Source organism: Homo sapiens, chromosome 4, assembly GCF_000001405.40.
Source record: "Homo sapiens chromosome 4, GRCh38.p14 Primary Assembly".
NCBI lineage: Eukaryota > Metazoa > Chordata > Mammalia > Primates > Hominidae > Homo > Homo sapiens.
This window is the reverse complement of record NC_000004.12, coordinates 119,001,559-119,025,474: the sequence shown is the minus strand read 5'-3', so window position 1 is coordinate 119,025,474 and position 23,916 is coordinate 119,001,559. Positions and strand designations below refer to the sequence as shown.

Genomic DNA, 23,916 nt, shown 5'->3' with positions numbered 1-23,916 from the left:
CAAACTAACAGTTAAACAAAATGCACCTTTCTCTATACGCAAGTAATTGGAAAAGCTTCCCTGTAATACAGTATTTATACAACATTATAATATCGTATTAAAAAAGCATGATGTTAGCAAATTAGATCATTATTATGTAGAAAATGTTAAATACATTGTTAAACTGAATTTGAGGGTACCAAAAGGTCAGAGAGTTTTAATTTAGGAAGGCCTTGGGATGGAAGTAGATTAAATCACTTTGAATAACGTTAGCAATCAATTGTGAAGCTGAGAAGAGAATAGTTTCAATTCATGCCAGCCTTGTAGACCAATACAGACAAATGGCCAGATAAATATTAACATTTATCAGCAGCTGAAGTAAAATAAATAGACATGAGTAAATATCATAAAAGCATGAGCGAATAAAGCTTTATGCCTTAAAACATTCATTTCCCATCAGTCTACATAGGTATTCATCAAGTCCACAATTTATGTGTCACAATTATAGAATTTTTAAAATCTTATTTTAAGAACATTCAAGATAATAGAGATGGAATGTTAAAGGAGTTATTTTAAAATAGTCTTACTGAGCTATCTCTGGGCAATAGTTCAGGAAAAGTAAAAACACTTGTCCTCTACTGATAGATGACAGTGATATGAGTGACAGAAATATTTATTGCAGGAAACAATATTCAGATATTTAAAATAGTGGTAGTGGTGGTGATGATAATAATTGCTTTTGACTTGATTTTCAATTGAGATTCCACTTTGAATCCTACCAATTAGTTACTTACTTTGTAATTTTTTTTATTTTATAAATTTAATTATGTATTAGTAAATTATGTATTTTATAAACTTATTTTCTCTTCATAACATGAAGGAAGGATTCTAAGGCCTTAAACACTGAGTTTGATGGGTAAATATTTAGATTATAAGAATAATGCTAGATTTCCATTGTTGTCTCAAGATTTTGGCCATAGTGAGTTCATTTTCATCCCGGAACAGAATCATACTGAATGATTAGCAGAGGGGTAACTGTGCGTAGTGTTTCTGCAGAGTTGAGGAAAAACCTGGAGGACCTTGAGGTTCATCTTGAGATGTCCTCTGACATCTTCCTAAAAGCTGCTCTCCAGGAAGCCAAAGCTTTCCTTTCTGGATTCATTATCATGCAATAGCCAGAGCTTCCGTTGCAAAATCAGTATGGATTGTACTGTGATTTGTACACCATAAAAATGTCAATGCTGTAGTTTTCCTTGTTATTGTCCTCATTGTTTTCTTTTGTTTTTTACATTTAAAGGTTTCTTTTATATTGTTAAACAACTATGTGGGGATGGTGGTATTTGAAGAGATTGAATTCCCAAATGACCTGTGTTGGTCGTGCAAAAACCTTATTCTAATCATCTGCTTTTGTCCATCCTCAAATATTGGTTTTACTGGAGAAATCCGGCTGCTTGTAAGTTTTTGTTGTTGTTTCTCTTTTCTGTCTCTTAAGCATCCTTTTAATGAAAAATTGTACAGTTTAATGGTCTAATATTTAAACATTTTTAATTCATCTGTGCATCTGATAATTACAATTGAGTGATTCTGATCCATCACAAAATCTTGACCTATCAAAGAAATATTAAGTTATGCTCAATATACTGAGCTTTCTAAGGAAGGAGCCTAAAATACCTAAGATTTTCAACAAAGTGCTTGAAACAAGCATTTTCAACTTAATTCTCAATTAACCAGAAAGTTTGGTTGACTAGAATTGACTATTTTTCAAACACAGTGGTGTTTCTGTTTAACTATACCTAACCTTCTACAAAGCACCCCTAATTTCTCCATAAATGACAAGTTATATATGTAGTAAAAGCTATAATCATTCCCATGTAGCTTCAAGAGAAAATACATATTCCAGCAAATCTGTTGTACCTTTTGATGAGCATTTGGAGAGAGTCTGTTATGCTTTCCATGAGCTTGATGACTTCAGGGTAGGTGAGATCTGCACAAGGGTTGCCATTGATGGAAACCACTTCATCTCCCTCACAGAGCCCAGACCCAGAGGCTTTGCTCTGATTTCGAATCTGAGTGGAGTAAAAAAAGAAGACATAGTAGAATGATATAATTTGTAAAAAGCAAGCCACCATCTCTGAGAAACAAATCTGTCAACAGTAACACCAGCCCTGAATTTTAATTCACCTGTTAACCTGTAAGACCATTTAAATACTTCTTACCACCTTATGAACACACACACAGCCACACACTTTATCATGTACCATAATATGAACATTTAATTCATAGCATTGTAAGTAAACAGGAAAAAAGAAAGTAAATAAATCAATGTAAAGGTACCAGACAGAATTAAAGAAATAAAAAATAGAGAAGAGTGAAAAAAGATGTTAAAGGCTTACATTGATGGCATTAAAAATAATTATTCAGGCCAGGCGTGGTGGCTTATGCCTGTAATCCCAGCACTTTGGGAGGCCAAGGCGGGTGGATCACGAGGTCAGGAGTTCGAGACCAGCCTGGCCAACATGGTGAAACCCCGTCTCTACTAACAAGTACAAAAATTAGCTGGGCATGGTGGTGTGCGCCTGTAGTCCAAGCTACTCAGGAGGCTGAGGCAGGAGAATTGCATGAGCCCGGGAGGTGGAGGTTGCAGTGAGCCAATATCGCACCATTGTACTCCAGCCTGGGCAACAGAGCAAGACTCTGTCTCAAAAATAAAATAAAATAAAATAAAATAAAATATAAAATAAAATAAAATAAAACATAAAATAAAATAAAATTAAAATAAAATAAAATATAAAATAAAATAAAATACAATTAAAATAAAATAAAATAAAATAAATAATTCAGGCCAGGCACAGTGGCTGATGCCTATAATCCCAGCACTTCGGGAAGCTGAGGCAGGTGGATCTCTTGAGCTCAGCAGTTTGAGACCAGCCCGGTCAATATGGTAAGACCCTGTCTCTAAAAAAAAAAAAAAAAAAAAAAAAAACCTACAAAAAATGCAAAAATTAGCCCGCTTGGTGGTGCATGCCTGTGATCCTAGCCACACAGGAGAAGTGGGAGGATTGTTTGAGCCAGGAGGTGGAGGTTGCAGTGAGCCAAGATCATGCCACTGCACTCCAGCCTGGGGGACAGAGCAAGACCCCGTCTTAAAACATTATTATTATGATGATGATAATTCCACATTGTAAGGTTTTACTCCAGTGAGAAAGTAACCTCCTGCATTACAATAAATTTTAAAATCCTTCCCATTGCCAAGGTGAATGAAACGCCATGACTATAAGAAGGAGGTACAGGACGGGGCAACTTGTTTGAGGAGAGAGCTGTATAGCTAAATGGACTGATAAAAACCATCCCAGTATAGTGGGGCACCAGGGAGCCTGGATATTAGGGAATATGTCAAAGAGAGAAATGCTTCATTGAAATCAGCTACTCCAGGCATGGTACTAAGCAAACTTTAGCAAAAAAGAAAGAAAAAAGAGATTACTTTGCAGAAAGTAAAAGCAGCCCTGCCATAAGCACTGTGTCATAATCTACTGGAATATTCTTACTCCAGTAAGAGATCAAAGACCAAGGGAAATGAGAGGTCAGGTCTATGCTCTCCTTGGTGGACCTGCTGGGCCATGGCTTAGCAGTGGCTCTGTTCTTCAGTCTAGAGAGTTGCAGCTCCTGTCAGCCTGCCCCTCTATCATTGCCTTAACTCGTTAGGTTCCAACAACACACATTATCTCCTTGTACCTTTGGGCCTATGAGTGATAATAGTTTCCTGCTCTCAATCTCTGGATTTCTGGGTGCTTCATTATCATTTGTTGGTTCCCTTAAGACTACCTTTAGTCTCTGCATTGCATTATATTGAATTCTTCTTTGAGCATGCCACCTATTTCCTGCTGGAGCCCTAAGTGATACTAATGTGCTTAGATTTCATTTTATGAGTTCAATTGTTCTCAATGAACCATGTATGATGACCATACAGTCTCAAATTTAAGAATACTTTAAGATACTTTTCTAGATTTTTTTCTACCAAGCATTATTCCTTTTTATTAAAATAAAGCTTCTGAGCCTAGAGAGGTGAACACCAGGTAAGCAGCACTTCTTGAACAATGTTTTCATGGCTAGGCTTATTTCTGACTGGGCACAAAATGTATTTCAATTTATCTCTAAAAGCTGCCCACTAATTCCTGCTAAAGTCTTAAATGATAATTCATATATTAACTCATATAGGTTTAAAGTTTACATCTAGAGGTTCATTTTAAATGATACTCTTGAAAGCAAAATATTACCTTTAAGAGCCAAAACAATGGCATTATTGAAATTTGAAGTGATTCAATTAGTTTTGTTCTGGGAGGGCCCATCCTTCTATTGTCATAAATTACAATCTGTAGAAAGCCTTCCCCACTGCTGACACATCAATATCATTACCTCTTGGGGAAGAATATACTAATTTATTGGAAAATATAATTTATTTTTGGAATATACTAATTTATTGGAAAACACTAATTTATTAGAAAATATTAAATGAACCAATATTCCAAGACTATAAGAAAGTCACAAAAGCAATGAGAAAGAGAATTTCACCTAATTTTGAAAATATCCATTTAGCTGTTAAATATATTTGTTTTGTTTTATCTTGCATGAAATATTTAAAATGAAAGATCACAAGAAATTTTTTAATAAGTAAAGGATACAACAATATCCAACAGTAAACATCTATGTCAGGGTTAGAGTTGTTCACATTTCAGTTACTGAAATTTATTTATAAAAAAAATTAGGTAGGTAATACAGGATACTTTTGAGGCATAAAATCATTCATTCAATGGAGTCAGATATACCAGGATTCGAACAGAACATCATCCTTTGGAGGACCAAAGAGGTTTTATGTTGATAAAACAGAGGTGTCATTATACTCTGTGCCCCCCAAGACCCAATCTTAGGCAGAAGTTCTGTTTATTAGCCATGAGTTGTCTGAGTTTTAAACTGGGATTGCAGAAGAAGATGAAAAATTGATTCTTTAAAAATAAATAATCTCCCAACTTTACAGAGCTGCCTGTTATCCAAACATGTGTTGCATGATAGGAAAAGTGCAGTTCATCATCCTGCTTGTCAAGTTGGAGCTCTTAATGGTATCTAAATAAGCCAGTGCATCATGGTAAGAGTCATTAGCATTCCTTCAGAGAATACATTCTGAGGTCAACATTCACAATCAACTGCTGTGATTGCGTTTCACTGAACTTTCACATTCATCTGAATAACAAGAAATATTTTTCCCTCAAGAACCTTGCTATATATGATGAGAACTTTTCTTCTTACTTAAGTTTTTCTGAAGGACTACTCTTTCTCCATTTTTTATAGAACTCTTCAACCAAAAAAACATGGTATGACAGGGTCTTATAGTAGTATCAAGAAGGATAAACATGTATTAGTGTACCTAAGATCCTTACCTTCTATTGTGCGTAATTACGTATTTTTATAATTGTATAAGTGTGTATGTTTATGTGAGTGAAGATTCTAACACTTGGAAATGTTCTTATTTGTGAAAATGAAAGACACTGTGCATCACAAAACTAAATTTAGACACAAAAATTATTAGTACTGATGATACCAATTCTCTATCAGTGAACTTATCAACCAGTCTCCTTAAGCCACTAGTCTTGGATTCATAAAATACATGTAGCAGTGGGAAAGGGTACCAACTCTGAGGGAACAAGACATGGGTTTCAACTGTGTTGCTCCTATGCTTACTACCTGTCTAAACCTAGATGAGTTACGCTACTACCCTAAGCTTTAGTTTTCTAAAGTGTAAAATGGTGCTAATAAATTTTATCGTCTAGATGTTTAATCAGGATTAGAAATAATGTGTGTAAAGTTCCATGATGTACCTACAGCTCAAAGAGGTGCTCAAGAAGGGACTGGTGAATTCAGACGTGTTGGCTTTCTACACACACAGAGTTACATATAAAATATTTTTAAAAATTAAAACAGACAATATTATGACTCAATGTGTTATAAGTTCAAAATTGAGTATAATTATCTTTCATAAACTGTGATTTGACACAAAATACCTGCGTGAGCACATCATGTAATTCCTTTCCTTTGAAAACATTCCTTTAGAGACCTCATTCTACATATAATATATTAGACCCTGAGTGAGTTCTTATCCTGTATTCTTTTTCAGTATCTCCCAATTTAATCAGATCACATAACTAAGAGATATTGGTAATGTCAGTAGTTACCAAATGCAATACTATGTTTCATTGCTTACCACCTTTTTGTTTTGGTTTGCTAATTTTCATTTTAGGTTTAGGGGTACATGTGAAGGTTTGTTACAGAGGTAAACACGTGTCACGGGGGGTTGTTGTACACATTACTGCATCACCCAGGAATTAAGCCCAGTACCCAAAAGTTATCTTTTCTGCTCTTCTCCCTCCTCCCAGCCTCCCCCATCAAGTAAACTCCTGTATCTGTTGTTTCCTTCCTTGTGTTCATAGTTCTTATCATTTAGCTCCCACTTATAAGTGAGAACATGCAGCTTACCAACTTCAAAAACTTTTTATTTAAAATTATTATGGATACATAATAGTTATACATATTTATGGGGTATGTGTGATATTTTGATACAAGCTAATGATCAAACCAGTGTAATTAGGGTATTCATCACCTCAAATATTTATCATTTCTTTGTGCTAGGAACATTTCAATTGCACTCTTTTAGTTATCCTGAAGTATACAATAAATTATTGTTAACTATAGTCATGCCACAAAACACCAGATCTTATTTCTTCTAATTGTATTTTTGTACCCATCAACCATCTCCAGTTTATCCCCCTCTCCTCTCTACTACCCTTCCCAGTCTCTGGTAACCATCATTCTACTCTCTATCTTTTATCAAAAAGAGAGGTAATAATGAATGCTGGCAAGGATGTGGAGAAAGGGGAACCCACATACCCTGTTGGTGGGAATGCAAATTAGTCCAGTCACTATGGAGAACCATATGGAGGTTCCTCAGAAAATTAAAACTAGAACTAGCCAGCAATCCCATTGCTGGTTATATATCCAATATAAAGGAAATCAGTATATTGAAGGGATATCTGCACTCCCAAGTTTATTGCAGCACTATTCACAATAGCCAAGATATGGAATCAACCCAAGTGTCCATCAGTGGATGAGTGGATAAAGAAAAAGCGGTACATATACACAGTGGAATATTATTCAGTCATAAAAAATGAAATCCTGTCATTTGCAACAACATGGATGGAGGTGGAGGGCATTATCTTAAGTGAAACAAGCCATGTGCAAAAAGACAAATATTGCTCATTCTCACTCACATGTGAGGATTTCCATTTCTTGATCCATGCCAGGAAAGATTTGTTTTACCAACACCAAGTGAAATTGGAAAGTTAAGACTTCTCGGGGAAATTTAACGACATTATTTACATTTCATAGACTAAATCTGAGAAGACTTTCGGCTATGCTAATTTAGTTTTATGAATAAATAATTCCTTGCAAAATTAAAAAAACCTCGTTTTTCTCTTGTGTTGTTCTCTCTTCATTTCCAGGTCTTCCAAGACTGACTAGAAAGCAGGTCTCAGATTTGATTTCTCATCGACCTAGTACATAAATTATTTTGTGTTGTGTATATGGCCTATCAATCATGCCAGCTTGCTGTCAGAACTAAATTTTGTCTCAGGAGCTGCATTTTCATGTATAATTCATTGACAAGTACTGTTGGAAAATGTCAGAGTGGGTGATAGAAACAAGACAATCTCTTCCTTAAATCCACTATTATAATCTATTGAAATCAATGAAAAAGAGAAAATTAGCATACATTTGCCTATCACATGTGGGGCTATTCTCAATCCATATGATGAAGTCTCAGGGACCTGGCAATAACTAAGAGAGGATGAGAGAGATGATTGTGATCTCAGGCAACAATTAAAGTTTTAGAGATTTTTTTTTTTTTTGACAGAAAATGTACACTACATGTTCTAGTAGTTCTTTTGGAAGCTCCCGCCTTTCCTCAATTTTCCACTTCAGGCATTTCTCAAAACTGCCTCATACCTGTAAGACAAGGTTTAATAAGCATTCCCTTACCCCAACTGGATCTTAAACCAAAGCCTTAGGTAGGTCTGTATTCTTCAACTAATACCAGAGGAATGGTCAGAGGAGGCAGAGCAAGATGATAGTAGCTAAGATCTTGGAAATAAGTTCATAATTCCATTTTCAGAGGGCTTGCTATCCAGATCCTAAACACCAACCTCAGTCCTTGGGATTCAGTTCTACAAATCATGTGTCTAAATAATGAAAATAAAGTTAAAACTGTGTATTCAAATCTGGTGACAGGTGTAAATTCAAACAGACACTACAATTTTTGGTTATTCTACACTCAGTACCTCAATTCAAGCTCATAACCTGTTCTCATGTTGGGTTTTGGTTTGAAGATCATGACCTTTCTTCCTCTTGTCACCAAGATATATCCAGACAAAAACGTTTTCTTTTGGATAATTGTCTTTACTCTCAGAGACCAAGTCACCATAAAAGTAAAAAGTATTCATGGTAGCAACCTTGGAAAGGTTCCTGGAGTAATAACTATCTTTGACAGGAATGAGAGCCCTAATTTGTGGGGCTGCATACTTAAGAATCTTCATACCAAAGTGATTCCACAGGCAGAAACGATGCTGCAATATAACTGCTATGAGCTGTTATAAAGCAGCCATCATGATGCTAGAAAACTAAGTACAAATATGGAATGGTATTCTCTGCTTTTCTTTCTTTCCTAAGAATGTAAACATCCTAGCTCTTTCAGGCAAACACTGATAGAGCAGAGCCTAGCAGGACATGTGCCTGTCTACTTTTTGCTGGATAAATCATGAAAGATTGCACAGAGGTCTTTGAATTACAGGCAGATTATTTTTATAAACATTTGTGCAGAATATGAAAAAATACTTTTTAAAAAACTCCTAATAAAAGCACATGTAAAATTTAAAAGCATCTATGTAAATACTCTTTTTAATAAGAATTACTAAGAAAAGAGAGCAGAACTAGAACTATTTGGGTTTCCTAAATTTTAGTTGATTTTTTTTTTTTTTTGAAATGGAGTCTTGCTCTTGTTGCCCAGGCTGGAGTGCAATGGCACAATCTCTGCTCACTGTAACCTCTGCCTCCCAGGTTCAAGCAATACTCCTGCCTCAGCCTCCCAAGTAGCTGGCAGGCTCCCACCACCACGCACAGCTAATTTTTGTATTTTTAGTAGAGATGGGGTTTTGCCATGTTGGCCAGGCTGGTCTCGAACTCCTGACCTCGTATACTGGACATACAACTTTTAACTGAGAAATTAACATGCTAATAAGAATTAGTTACCTAAAGAACTTACAAGTAAGCTCTCAACAGTCTTTTGAATGGTCAAAATACAGTTAAAAATAAAGTTCACTAAAACTTCTGGACATTACTGAAAGTATATGGATCCTATCCTCAGTCTATTTCATCAATTTTATACAATTCTATTTACCATCGTTATTTGGTTTAGAAAATTAGAAGTGGGGAGAAAATCATGTATCCTGTATAAAGGAAAATGGCAAAGTTAATACAAATGCCAAAGTTAGGGAGTAAAAGCCAAATTTAAAAACACATGAAAATCTTAACAACAACAAAAAGGCTCAGAAGATTGGGCCACTCACTGAAGGTGTAAAAAACTCTCATATGCTCAATAGGATTTAATGCCTCTGCTCTATTCGAGTAAAATAATGGGCATTAATAATAATGATCCCAAGACATTTAAAATGTTTATATCATTTTTAGCAGACTGATTAGATGCAGAAGAACACGTGATATCTTTAGGAACGAGTACATCCCAAATAGCTAAATGAGGTTCTGATATCTAAAGGTATAATTGAACCTGAGGCATTTCTGCATTAATAAAGTAAAGGAAATGAATTGGAATCCATAATGTAAGGTCCCAGATACCTTGCTTGTATTGCTTTTTTTTCTGAAACTGTTTAGTTTCAGATATAAACATCTCATGTACCCAACAAATATACCTGTCTGAGTGCCCTGTTTTTCTATAGCTCTAGACATATGAAGTCTGCATTTGTCTCAACTAGATGAATCCATTTATTCTTCTAGTTTTCTCATAAATAAAACTACAGATAAAGAAGATATATGTAAAATGAAAATTTTTCTCCAAATGACAGGAGTAGAGACTTTTAAAAATTTATAAATTCTATTATTTTGCTGCGGACTTGCAGTTATTAGTAAACTGGCGATCTTGCCTTAATTCTGTCACTAACTCATGTGATTTCGAGCAAAGCATTTAAGCTATTAGGGAATCATTTTCCACACCTGGAGAATGAAGGCATTCCCTCCAGATTCCTAATTCTATACTTTGTCAAACTATAATACATATAAGATACATTAGGGTGCTTCCATTTTGGAAAGAATCACATCAAATTGTCATTGAAGTTTTCATTTAAAAAGTATCAACTGTACAAATTTATAAATACTTGTCATAGTTTTAATTCAAGAAAGTTAAGTTGACTGCACTGAACATTTACTGTAGTAGGGTACTGGGGGAAAAGACAGGGCCAATAATGTCTTCACATGACTGAGATAATATCTGCCTTCCCAGCCACAGCACATACTTGAGAGGTTTGATTGACAAAAAAACTGTCTGGTGCAGGAGCCAGGGGGATTTAATCACATCAGAAAGACAGCCTTTCGGGGAAGAGCTGGTTTAAATGATCACTTTCAAGGCTTTAATTAACTGGAATTTCATTTAGGCCATCATCGGTGTTTAAGAGTATGTGATCTATAGAAGCAATTCTTAAACATTTTGGTCTTAGGAACTGTTTAGACTCTTAAAAATAATTAAGGACTTCAAAGATACTCTGTTTTGAGTTTGGTCTATTGATATTTACCATGTTAGATATCAAAAATAAGAAATTTTAAATTTTTATTAAATTTAAAATAGCAAACCTACTGCATGTTAACATAAGTACTTTTTTATGAAAAACCGTATTGTATAAAACAGGTAATGTAGTGAGAATAGTGGTATTATTTCCCACTTCTACAAATCTATTTATTTATTTATTTATTTTTGAGATGGAGTCTCACTTTGTTGCCCAGGCTGGAGGGCAGAGACGCAATCTTGGCTCGCTGCAACCTCCGCCTCCCAGGTTCAAGCAATTCTCCTGCCTCAGCCTCCCGAGTAGCTGGGATTACAGGCATGTGCCGCCACACCCAGCTAATTTTTGTATTTTTAGTAGAGATAACATTTCACCAGGCTGGTCTTGAACTCCTGACCTCAAATGATCCACCCTCCTTGGCCTCCCAAAGTGCTGGGATTACAGGTGTGAGCCACCGTGTCTGGTCTGTAAATCTCTTTAATGTCTGAGCTCAATAGAAGACAGCTGGATTCTCAGATGTGCTTCTGCATTCAATCTGTTGTGATGGGTTGATTGAAATGCATAAAGAAAATTGAGCCTCACACAGTTATATAGTTGGAAAAGGAGGAGTACATTGATAGTCTTATAGGGTAATTTTGGATATTCTTCTTTGATATCACAATGAACTCAACAAGCAGTAGTTTCTAAAGTTGTACTGCAGAATCTGAAACCATAGGTATAAATTTTTCATACTCTGTTAATTTAAAAAATCTATTGGTCCATTTTGCATTTTGAATGCATCTTTTATGCATGTGTGATTTTGTTACATTTGGGTTGATCATTTGGAAAATATTGATTCACTGAGTTATGCACATCTTTCAAATGTTGACACATTTCATTATACAATATCAAACAATCACTCTCAATACCACCAATGATCTCATCAGAGAAGTCTTTAAGTATTGGGATGCTGTCATATTCACAGTGGCAGATGAGAGTTTCTCAAAATTTTAGTTTTCCCTTGAAAGTTCAAATATCGTCCATTGTTTTCCTTAAATGGGCAGGTTGACTTTGCTTATTTTCTAGAAAATAACTGCTGAATATCCAAGACTGAATAACCATATTTTGTCTGTCATTCCTTAAAATAAAAATGATGTCCCATAAATTTAAAAAATGGCTAGTATGGCTTGCAATTCAAACAATTTTGTACAAATGCTCCCTTGAGGTAAACATTGCATTTCAGTATCCAGCCAAAGTGCTTTATATGTACTTTTCATTTTGTCACACAGAATATTAAAAAGATATGCATTCAAGATTTAATAAAAATCAAACTTTAACTGCTTCATCAGGATATCCTTATGTAAAACTGGCATCATGTTTTTTAAGCCAAATGTATGACAGTAAGGAACACAAAGGCCCCTGGTACATTTGTGTCACCGCCTTGAATGCTAAGGGCTAAGGTGCAAGTGGTTTCAGCCACCATTGTTTTTGCACTATCCATGCAAATGTCAACATGGTGAAAAGGACAAGTAACACCTTAGTATTATTACTAAAATTATTTTGGCCTGAAAGTATCTCAGAGACCACCAGAGGTCTGCAGATGACACTTTGAGAATAACTGATCTAAAGGGACAGGGATTCCATGTGTAAGCATTCTTGAATATCTGAGTTGGACAGGAGGAAGTTCCACTGAAGGCAATGCAAAAGCAAGTAGAAGTAAGGTCCAACCTAGGGAACAAAGGCTGACAGAAACCAGAAAATGCTGCCTTTTAAGAACAATGTGCTGCCATTTACAGTAGTAAAGACTTGGAACCAACCCAAGTGCCCATCAGTGATAGACTGGTAAAGAAAATGTGGCACATATACACCGTGGAATACTATGCAACCCTAAAAAAGAAGGAGTTAATGTCCTTTGAAGGGACGTGGATGAAGCTGGAAACCACCATTGTCAGCAAACTAATAGAGGAATGGAAAACCAAAACCACATGTTCTCACTCATAAGTGGGAGTTGAACAATGAGAACACATGGACACAGGAGGGGAAACATCACACACCGGAACCTGTTGGAGTCAAGTGGGCAAGGGGAGGGAGAGCATTAGGACAAATACCTAATCCATGCAGGGCTTAAAGCCTAGATGACAGGTTGATAGGTGCAGCAAACCACCATGACACATGTATACCTATGTAACAAACCTGCACGTTCTGCACATGTATCCCAGAACTTAAAGTAAAATAAAAAAAAAAAAAAAAAAGAAAAGGGGGAAAAAAAAGGAACCATGTGCTAAAAGAGCAAGACTAAAACCAACAACCAATTCAGGCTAAAGATCACTCTGGTGATGCCGGCAGGAGGAATGGAGAGGCAAACAGTTTCAGCCCAGTTCTGTAGATTCAGTCTATAGAGAGGTGGCTGGGCACAGTGGTTCATGCCTATAATCCCAGAACTTTGGGAGGCTGAGGCAGGCAGATCACTTGAGGTCAGGAGTTCAAGACCAGCCTGGCCAACATGGTGAAACCCCATCTCTACTGAAAATACAAAAATTAGCCAGACGTGGTGGCAGGTACCTGTAATCCTAGCTACTCAGAAGGCTGAGGCAGGAGAATTACTTGAATCCGGGATGTGGAGGTTGCAGTGAGCCAAGATGGCTCCACTGCACTCCAAGCTGGGTGATAGAGTGAGACTCCATCTCAAAAAAAAAAAAAAAAAAAAGTCTATAGAAAGGAGAGGAAGGGGAGAAGAAAATCTTTGCCAAGCTACTATATCAAGCTTACTTTGGAAATAGCTCCCATTTAGCTTCCAAACTACTGGCTAGTTGAAATTCCTTGAGAGCTAAGATTGCAACACAAAGATCTTTGTATCTCCCACAACCTGACATGTGTCTTGCACATAGTAGACCTGCAATAAATATGTGCCGAATAAATGACAATATGAGAAGATTGAATTTTACCCAAATGTCTGTATCAACTTTTCTTAATACCTGGGTCAACAGGCACTCCTAAACCTCTTACTTTCTATTTATTCTTTTTTCATAGTCTCTTTTAGGGTATGAGATTATTACAAAAGCATTGTAATACATAGAGAATTCCCAGGGCATTTGTGGAAAAGATTTGCTCCCATTGAATGTTGGACATCAGAGATACCTGAGTCTTCCCCAGCAAAGGCAACGGTCCCACCATGACTCAATAAGCAACTCCACAGCTGCTCCTGCCAATCACTGTATTTCGCCATCATTCTTCTGGCCCCATGAGAGAGGTAAGGTCATAAGGCAATCAGTAAAACTTAAAAATGATCACTGTGTAGGCTTGGTTGCAATTTATGGAGATAAACATATGCATCGAAGTAGAGTGAGGCGCTGGAGCAGAGGCACTACCCCAGGTGCTGCTGCACCTCCTGTGCACTCTGCTGGACCTCCTGTGCACTCTGCTGGTCTTGGCAGGTCCACGTGAGCTGAACTGGGCTGTGGCAGTGATTTCCAAATCCTGTACTTCAAGAAGGGAAATCAGGGTCATGCCAAGTGCCCTTGGTGTCCATGTAAGTGTTCTGTTAATGCGTTTTAAAGCCAGTCATGCTCCCTGCTGCGATTGACTAATAGTTCTCCTATTTATTTCAGATTGAGGAGAGCCTGCATGAATGTCACCATCTTGCCAAAAAGATCCTGGGCCAGAGCTAGCTAAGGAGAGCCTTGCAGAGGCAGGCAAGAACCCTCAGCTACTCTCTCTCTTCACTCAGCCAGGGGTCTGTGTTGAACTTATGTAAGGAAATGGAGTTGTAGCTTAAAGATTTGCTTATGTTACCTCTTTTGATTAATTAGTTAATTATACTATATATTAACTGATTGTCTTTAATGTGACAAACAGTGTTATGGGCTCTGAATTGAAATAATGAATAATGCCCTAGAGAGTCTCATATTCTAACATGTGTAAGAGAGTAGATAATTACAACCCAACATGATAATTTATATTATCAAAGTGAACACAGTATACAATGGAAGTGCATAGCACATAGCACATAGCAGGCAAGGCTTCTCAAAGGAGACAGTTTCTCCTTGACATGGTTTGGCTCTGTGTTCCCACCCAAATCTCATCTTGAATTGTACTACCATAATTCCCACATGTTGTGGGGGGGACCTGGTGGGAAATAATGTGAGTCATGGGGGTAGTTCCCCCATATTGTTCTCATGGTAGTGAATAAGTCTCACTGTATCTGATGGTTTTGTCAGGGGTTTCTGCTTTTGCATCTTCCTCATTTTCTCTTGCCGCTGCCACATAAGAAGTACCTTTTGCCTCCCACCATGATTCTGAGGCCTTCCTAGCCATATGGAACTGTAAGTCCAATTAAACCTCTTTTTATTCCCAGTCTCGGGTATGTCTTTATCAGCAGTGTGAAAACAGACTAATACACTCCTAAAAGACAAATTAATGTTAGCCTCATGCAGAGGGGCAAGGGAAGCCAGTGAGGCAAAGTCATAGAGCCTAACACATAGTAAACACTCAGTCAATGCTTACTGGATGACCTATTTTTTCACAACACAATGCCACCTCCCACGAATACTATAGTATCTAATAGAGTACTCAGAACAATTACTATGTAGGTGAGCTGACAGGTGTAACCTTACAAAATGGTTATGGAGAAAAACCCATCCTTGCTACTCAAGGTGAGGCTCACAGACCATCAGCAATGGAATCACCTGGAGGCTTGTGAGAAGCACAGAATCTCAGCCCCCAACCCAGACTTACTAAATCAACATCTTCATTTTAACGAGATCCCCAGGTGATTTCTATACACACTAGTGTTTGAGACTGGGCTGTACTAAAAGCTCATAAACCATTAATGGCCTTCTATTATAAGATGGTGGTTAATAACTTCTGGCGAATATCAGGCTTTCTTAGGGAGGACTTTCAAAGTACAGAACCCTGCTTTTATTCCCCTGCCTTCCATGGAAGCCAGTTCTTAGAAGCGGGAACCTGGGTATCTGCACTTTTAATGAGCTTCCCCGGGTGATTCTGAGTTCCATTATTTGACAGAACATGGTGTTATTTTCTATAAAATACTTTAGGAAAATATTTTGGGGGGCAATCAATTATGTTTATGTGTGTGTGTATGTGTGTGTGAAACAGGCAGATCTTTATTGAGTGCCTGAGTGACTTTCCTACAAGGAACCATATTATTAACTCTATTGAGCTTCAAATAATCATATTTTTCAAGGAGACTAGAAGATAAGTCTATGATCATTATTTTAAGATTTTTTGGCATGTTCTTTTATTTAAACTATATGCTTCTTATTGTTTTGAAAGCAAAGGTGTTCCAAAGCCAAGACTCTCTGGGTTAGAAGTGCAAACTTAATGTAAGCTGGTGTGCTGCTGAAAACTGACTACCTATGTGTAAAAACTATAGCCCAATTTTATCCCTAGGCAGATCATGCTTGCCAATAATTAGCTCTTCAAAAATATTTTGTATCAATTGCAAGCATACAAAAATCTTTACGAAGCATTTGATAATATTTGTGCTAGATGTACAATGGAATGTAACAACACATTGAAATTCTGGTTTATCTTAACTATAATTTTTATTAATTCTCTACCTGATCACAAAATTTAACATGCTGAAGACAAGAGGTTTTCATTTGTTCCTGATTTTCATTTGAAACCAAATATGATGAAATTTCCATTTCCTCTCTATTATTACATAAACCTGAAGCAAAGAGATGAAATTACTAAGTGCTTGCTTTATAGAAAAAACGATCTCCACATTAATTAAATTAGTTGTAAATAATATGGCATCTTCTAATATTTGAAGGAAATGGAGCAATTAAATGGCACATAAATATATTAAAATGTTTAGTAAGAGTTAAAGTTCAGCAAAAAAAAAATTTTACTTAACCCAAGCAACTACACAGTATCATATATAAATTATGCTTTTAAAGGAAATAAATGTTAATTTCTTGAGATGAACTTTTATAATCTTAAAAATTGTTTGTAAAACAAAATGTAAGTAATGTTGAGTCTCCTCATCTTGCTACAAAACCATTTGGATTTCAATGAAAACATCAAACACCTACTCTTTCTTTTCAAATAAATGTTCTGGCATTCATCTTTTATAATAACATATCATAATTTCTGTTACTATTTAATCTCACTTATATTTGCTAAGACATTTCATTCAAAGCTTGCTTTGCCAAGGAAAAAAAAAAAAAAGCCTGTGCAATTTAAACCAGTGTGCTCGCAAATGTCCACTGCTCATTTCACCTCAGTTTTGAAGGTATTCATTCATTCACTTAGTACTGAGTACCTCCAGCAGCAGGCAGTGTTCTAGGCTTGCTTTTCCCAGGATAGACCCAGGAAGAACTGGCAATTGGACTCCCATCTTAAAAGACTGGATATATGACATGTCTTGATAATCACAGATAATCACCAGTACCCACAGTGAGAAGGGCACTAAACTCATCAGGATTGACTTAATCCAACAAGTAAGTATTAAGCACCTAATATGTGCAAGTTACTGTACTATGAAATCTATGAAATCTATGAAGATGAATATGGCCGAGTTCCTGAACAAAGCCTCTCAGAAATGGAAAGCTGTTGCACTCTCTGCTGCAAAATTTAGTCTCCCATTTGTGTTTCATTTATTTGTCTGTATTCCCTTCCTCCTCTGGAAAATAATAATGTATCTTATAATAATGTACCTTACAAATTCTTCATGAGTCTACATGTGTGATCCATTCTCATATATTCCTCTATTAACACATATACACTTGACATGTTCATATTCCTTAAAACAAAATACATGCAGCAAAGGTATGAGATGATGTTGTTCACATATAAGTGTATAAGTAAATGTTTTGTCGGTTCGCCAATATCAGTGGTTAAAAAAACATTAAAATCCATATTAAAATAGGAAAGGATGTGATTGTAGGAAATGTGGCATGACACTCCTGGCACTAGGAGCTAAGACATAAACATGAAGACCAAGGCCAAGGTGGCTTGACTCTGGTGCCGCTGATGAGTGCAATGTGGATTTGGTTCCCAAGAGTGAAGTTGTTGGCTGATAAATGATGAACAGAGTATTATGAAATATAGGTTTGATTTATGCCATATAAGCATACGATCATGCCATATATAAGGCTTATAGACATAAATCTAAGTAAGTACTTTATGTGCTTCTAGGTCAATAATTTTAAAGTCAAACTATCCGATCATTTTGTTTTATGTTTTTTTTTTGTTTGTTTTTTGTTTTTGTTTTTAACATTTCAGGATGATCTTTTTCTCCCATGCCTTCCAGTTTTTAAAAAAGTTAGTGGTAAAATAGAGTATGCCTATATGTGCGTGTATATACATATATATATATATGTATATACATATATATATATATATATATATGTATATACATATATATATATATATATATATATATATACCTTTGTTCTTTTTTGTTTTGGGAATTTTCAGTCTCCTCATTCTTGTGTGTGTGTGTGCGTGTGTGTGTGTGAGAGACAGAGAGAGAAGAGAGAAAGGGAAGGGGAGGGGAGAGAATTGTTTGTAAGCCTCTTGAAGTTAGAGATCATGTCTTTCTACCTGGTACAAAGAGCCAAGTACATTGCCTAATGTGATGTCCATAACCCTTAGAAGTCCCGAAATGTAATGAAAACAACCGTAAAATAAAGGTGCAACAAACCAACAAATTAAGTGTACCTGAAGAAATATGAGGTAATTTAGGATGGTCACAAAAATTGTTACAAGCATAAAACAAAGAAAAACTTGGTTGCTAATAAACGTAGAGTGAAAGATAAATGTAATGAGAGAGACCATGTCAGCATGTTGCAATACCCTGGCTATACAGATCATCCTTGCTCTCAACAGCTAAGTTAGAGCAGCTACTTCCAGATGTATCCATAAAAAATTAAATTTTACAAGTGTTATAAAGAAAACAGAGAAATAAACAACCTGCCTGCTTCTTTGGGGATTACCTAACTTTAATTCATTATTTTATATACAATTATTAGTGAGGCTTACCAGATCTTTATTAGTTTCCGCTTTTGATATTGACATTTTTAAATGGGATAAGTACCACAAATTATGAGTCTGTCATATTTTTGTTCCCAAAATGCATTCCTTTATTTTCTTTATAAGGCAGCTGTAGTTTATAAATTCTGAGAACTTGATAGTCACATAATTTCTCTTAGTAATCCCCAAGGCTTCCATGAGAATATTTCTGGTGCTGACAGCCAAGGAAATAGTTTTGGGGTCTTTCTCCACAGCTAGAAGATTCTTTGGTGTTTGGGTTATGGACACAAATTCACTGGATACTTTGTGTTCTCGTAAAAGAATAGTCCACTTCTGTCCCTAAGAGTGTTAGTTTGTGCTTTCTTTTCCTCCAACACACTGATTCCATCTTGAACAACTTCATCAGCATGTCCTTTTGGCTTCATGTATTATAAAAAGTATAAGAAAAGCCAGGGTTAGGACACCAACTTTCACACCTTCATGTTCAGGCTTATCTGTAAGTAGTTGTTTTGTATTGTTTACTGCTGACGGTGTCAGGGTGAGTGTGGCCTGGGTGAGCTGCAGCTTCCTGTTGCTAAGGAAGCAGACATCTTTGCCTTTCTGTTGCCCAGGTGCCTCTGGCTGGAGCTCAGACACCTCAGTTTCTCTGCATGGACACACAGTGGTTCAATAGGAAACCATTTATCATCTTTGTAGAATGTAATAATTATAGTTACTGAATGCTCCAACTGGATTTTAATGTTCCTAGACTAGCTTAGTGTTAATGCTCCTTCAAAACAATCATTTAGTTGTTCTCGGCAACTGATTGCACATACTGTTTTCTAAAGGTAGATATTTATTTGCCATTTTAAAACTTTCTCAGTTATAAGAAAAGGTAATTTTGAACTACTTTAAAGTTCATATGGAACCAAAAAAGAGCCCACATCACCAAGTCAATCCTAAGCCAAAAGAACAAAGCAGGAGGCATCACGCTATCTGACTTCAAACTATACTACAAGGCTACAGTAACCAAAACAGCATGGTACTGGTACCAAAACAGAGATATAGACCAATGGAACAGAACAGAGCCCTCAGAAATAATGCCACATATCTACAACTATCTGATCTTTGACAAACCTGACAAAAACAAGAAATGGGGAAAGGATTCCCTATTTAATAAATGGTGCTGGGAAAACTGGCTAGCCATATGTAGAAAGCTGAAACTGGATCCCTTCCTTACACCTTAAACAAAAATTAATTCAAGATGGATTAAAGACTATAATGTTAGACCTAAAACCATAAAAACCCTAGAAGAAAACCTAGGCAATACCATTCAGGACATAGGCATGGGAAAGGACTTCATGTCTAAAACGCCAAAAGCAATGGCAACAAAAGCCAAAATTGACAAATGGGATCTAATTAAACTAAAGAGCTTCTGCACAGCAAAAGAAACTACCAACAGAGTGAAGAGGCAACCTACACAATGGGAGAAAATTTTCGCAATCTACTCATCTGACAAAGGGCTAATATCCAGAATCTACAATGAACTCAAACAAATTTACAAGAAAAAAACAAACAACCCCATCAACAAGTGGGCGAAGGATATGAACAGACATTTCTCAAAAGAAGACATTTATGCAGCCAAAAAACACATGAAAAAATGCTCATCATCACTGGCCATCAGAGAAATGCAAATCAAAACCACAATGAGATACCATCTCACACCAGTTAGAATGGTGATCATTAAAAAGTCAGGAAACAACAGGTGCTGGAGAGGATGTGGAGAAATAGGAACACTTTTACACTGTTGGTGGGACTGTAAACTAGTTCAATCATTGTGGAAGTCAGTGTGGCGATTCCTCAGGGATCTAGAACTAGAAATACCATCTGACCCAGCCATCCCATTACTGGGTATATACCCAAAGGATTATAAATCATGCTGCTATAAAGACACATGCACATGTATGTTTATTGCGGCACTATTCACAATAGCAAAGACTTGGAACCAACCCAAATGTCCAACAATGATAGACTGGATTAAGAAAATGTGGCACATATACCCCATGGAATACTATGCAGCCATAAAAAATGATGAGTTTATGTCGTTTGTAGGGACATGGATGAAGCTGGAAACCACCATTCTCAGCAAAATATCACAAGGACAAAAAACCAAACACCGCATGTTCTCACTCATAGGTGGGAATTGAACAATGAGAACACATGGACACAGGAAGGGGAACATCACACACCGGGGACTGTTGTGGGGTGGGGGTAGGGGGTAGGGATAGCATTAGGAGATATACCTAATGCTAAATGACGAGTTAATGGGTGCAGCACACCAACATGGCACATGTATACATATGTAACAAACCTGCACATTGTGCACATGTACCCTAAAACTTAAAGTATACTTTTTTTTAAAAAAAGGTAATTTTGAACAATTTCCACAAATGGACAGACTTGGGAATAGTGAACCCTAAGTTAGAGAAAGCCAAACAAACAATACAATTTGCTCTGCAGAATTCCTTGAAGAGTTAGGAATTTGTGGAACAGTAAAGGTGAATGTAGGGCCGAAAACAGGAATGTTGTTGAAAGTCTAAAAACACAGTAGACCCTCTCAATGCCATTTCCTGTTTCCCACAGCCATGTAAATATCGTTTATTTACCCTACAGGACACCAGGCACAGCTGAGGGTGGAAAATAAGGGGTGAAATGAACGATTAACTACCGGATCCTGAAATTCCCACTTAAAGCCATGTCGTATCTGGGCTCCCGGAACTCTGGCAGCTGGAATTTATACCTTTCTAGGAGGAGAATGGAAGATTCTGATTAGCCAGTCAATTAAAATAGTGATATTAGGACTTTGCCAAGAAACAGCCCAGCCTGACTCCCCTAGAGTAAGCAGAGAGCCAAGGACATCAGTTCTAATCTAAAGGAAAGCCTCTACTATAAAAGATACTAAAAAGGCAGAATGCAAACATAGAGACTATACTGGGAGGGGAAAATGTCAAAAAATGTTATTACTAATGTCTCCAGAATGATATCAAACCATGAAACAGAAACAGGATGATACAAAAGAGAATGAGAAGGACTTTTGGCAATTAAAACTCTCTTAGCAGAAATGAATAGCTGAGTAGAGAATTTGGAAGACAATGTTGAGAAAATTTTCTAGAGTCTCCTGAAACCTAACAAGTTTGAATAGCAGTGATATGGTTTGGCTCTGTGTTCCCACCCAAATCTCATCTCAAATTGTAATCCCCACGTGTCAAGGGAGGGAGGTGATTGGATCATGGGGGTGGTTTCCCCCATGCTGTTCTCATGATAGTGAGTTCTCATGAGATCTGATGGTTTTATGTGTTTGGCAGTTCCTCCTTCACAGCACTTCTCTCTCCTGCCACCCTGTGAAGTAAGTGCTTGCTTCCCCTTTGCCTTCCATCATGATTGTAAGTTTCCTGAGGCCTCCCCAGCCATAAGGAACTGTGAGTCCTTTAAATCTCTTTCCTTCATAAATTACCCAGTCTTGGGTATTTCTTTATAGCAGTGTGACTAATACAGCAGTGGACTAATACAGCAAGACAAAAAGATAAAAATAAAAGGAAAAAGCTAAGAAAATTAGAGAGGATGCATACAAATGGTTCAACAGCTAAATAACAGAAATTCCAGAATGAGAAAACAGAAAACAAAACGAATAAGTCATCAAATAATTCAAGAAAATTTCTTATAATTGAAGGCAAGCATTGCTGGATATAAAGGGCCTATACAATAGAGGAAAATATACTCAAATCAATAGCCTAGAATGCTATACCCAGATAAATTATCAATTAGGTGGGAGGGTAGAATAAAGATGGTATCAAATATACCCAGTCTTAAAAAATTCAGCTCTCATCACTTGTTCTTAGGAAGCAAATGGAGGAAGGGAACCACAAAAAAGAGGAAGAAAAACCAAAGAAATAGGGAATCCAACTTGAGAGAGAAAAGAGAAATCCCCAGGATGATTAAGAAGAGACTCCAGGAAGATAGCTGTGCACCTGGCAGAGAGTCACCAACTTAAATTAGAGGAGGGTAGAAGACTCCAGGAAAGATGGCTACAAAACCAATGACATTGGCCCAGCACAGTGGCTCACAGCACTTTGGGAGGCCGAGGCCGGTGGATCACAAGGTCAGGAGATCGAGACCAGCCTGGCCAACATGGTGAAACCCCATCTCTACTAACAATACAAAAATTAGCCAGGCGTGGTGGTAAGCACCTGTAGTCCCAACTACTTGGGAGGCTGAGGCAGGAGAATTGCTTGAACTGGGGAGGCAGAGGTTGCAGTGAGCTGAGATCACGCCGTTGCACTCCAGCCTGGGTGACAGAGCAAGACTCCATCTCAGAAGAAAAAAAATGACATTGATAGCACTCCTGATATATTTTAAAATACCAGGAGGACAGTTAGATGGAGTGAGTTTGGGGATGAACTAATGACAAATACTTAGAAAACTAAAATCTTAAAAAGAAAGACAGTTGTCAATTATCAGGAGAAAATAATTTATGCAGGAAAGGAAAAAGTATTCCTAACATACTACCTGGCTAAGCTTAATAATCTAAGCACTGAATAGTGATTCAATCAAAATATAATTATATTGGGAGGATGGGGGGCACTAGGTAATCATATGAGCTTGAAGTAGGGACTGGAGAAGGGTAACAGAACTATTTATCTTCATCTTCCGTTGTGACATAACAATGAATAATTTTTACAACTGAGAAAAATCAAGAAATCACACAGATGTATATTTTAGAAATAAGAAAACTAGACAAAGGTAAACACAGATGTATATTTTAGAAATAAGAAGAAAACTAGACAAAGGTAAACACAGATGTATATTTTAGAAATAAGAAGAAAACTAGACAAAGGTAAAAAGAATATGTTTTGCTTTTGGGAAATCTAAAATTGATGGTTTTTCATAAAACGTATTCTAGAACTATTTGACTCTTTAAACTAGGTATATGTAACTTTGATAAAGAATAAGAACTAAATTTTAAAAAGCGTCATGGCTTTTCAATAAATCCTTGCATTTTTGATATTTTGGCTTCCCGGTATACTGGATTTGA

General features: G+C 36.7%; 1 protein-coding gene across 5 annotated transcripts in view; it reads right to left on the bottom strand.

Moving 5' to 3' along the window:
- SYNPO2 (synaptopodin 2) overlaps positions 1–23,916 on the bottom strand; it is a 210,567-nt gene that overhangs the window by 35,773 nt on the left and 150,878 nt on the right. For all 5 annotated transcript variants that reach the window (NM_001286754.2, NM_133477.3, NM_001286755.2 and 2 more), the window contains exon 2: positions 1,894–2,045. In NM_001286754.2, the coding sequence (NP_001273683.1) occupies positions 1,894–2,045 (152 nt within the window). The remainder of the gene's footprint in view (positions 1–1,893; positions 2,046–23,916) is intronic.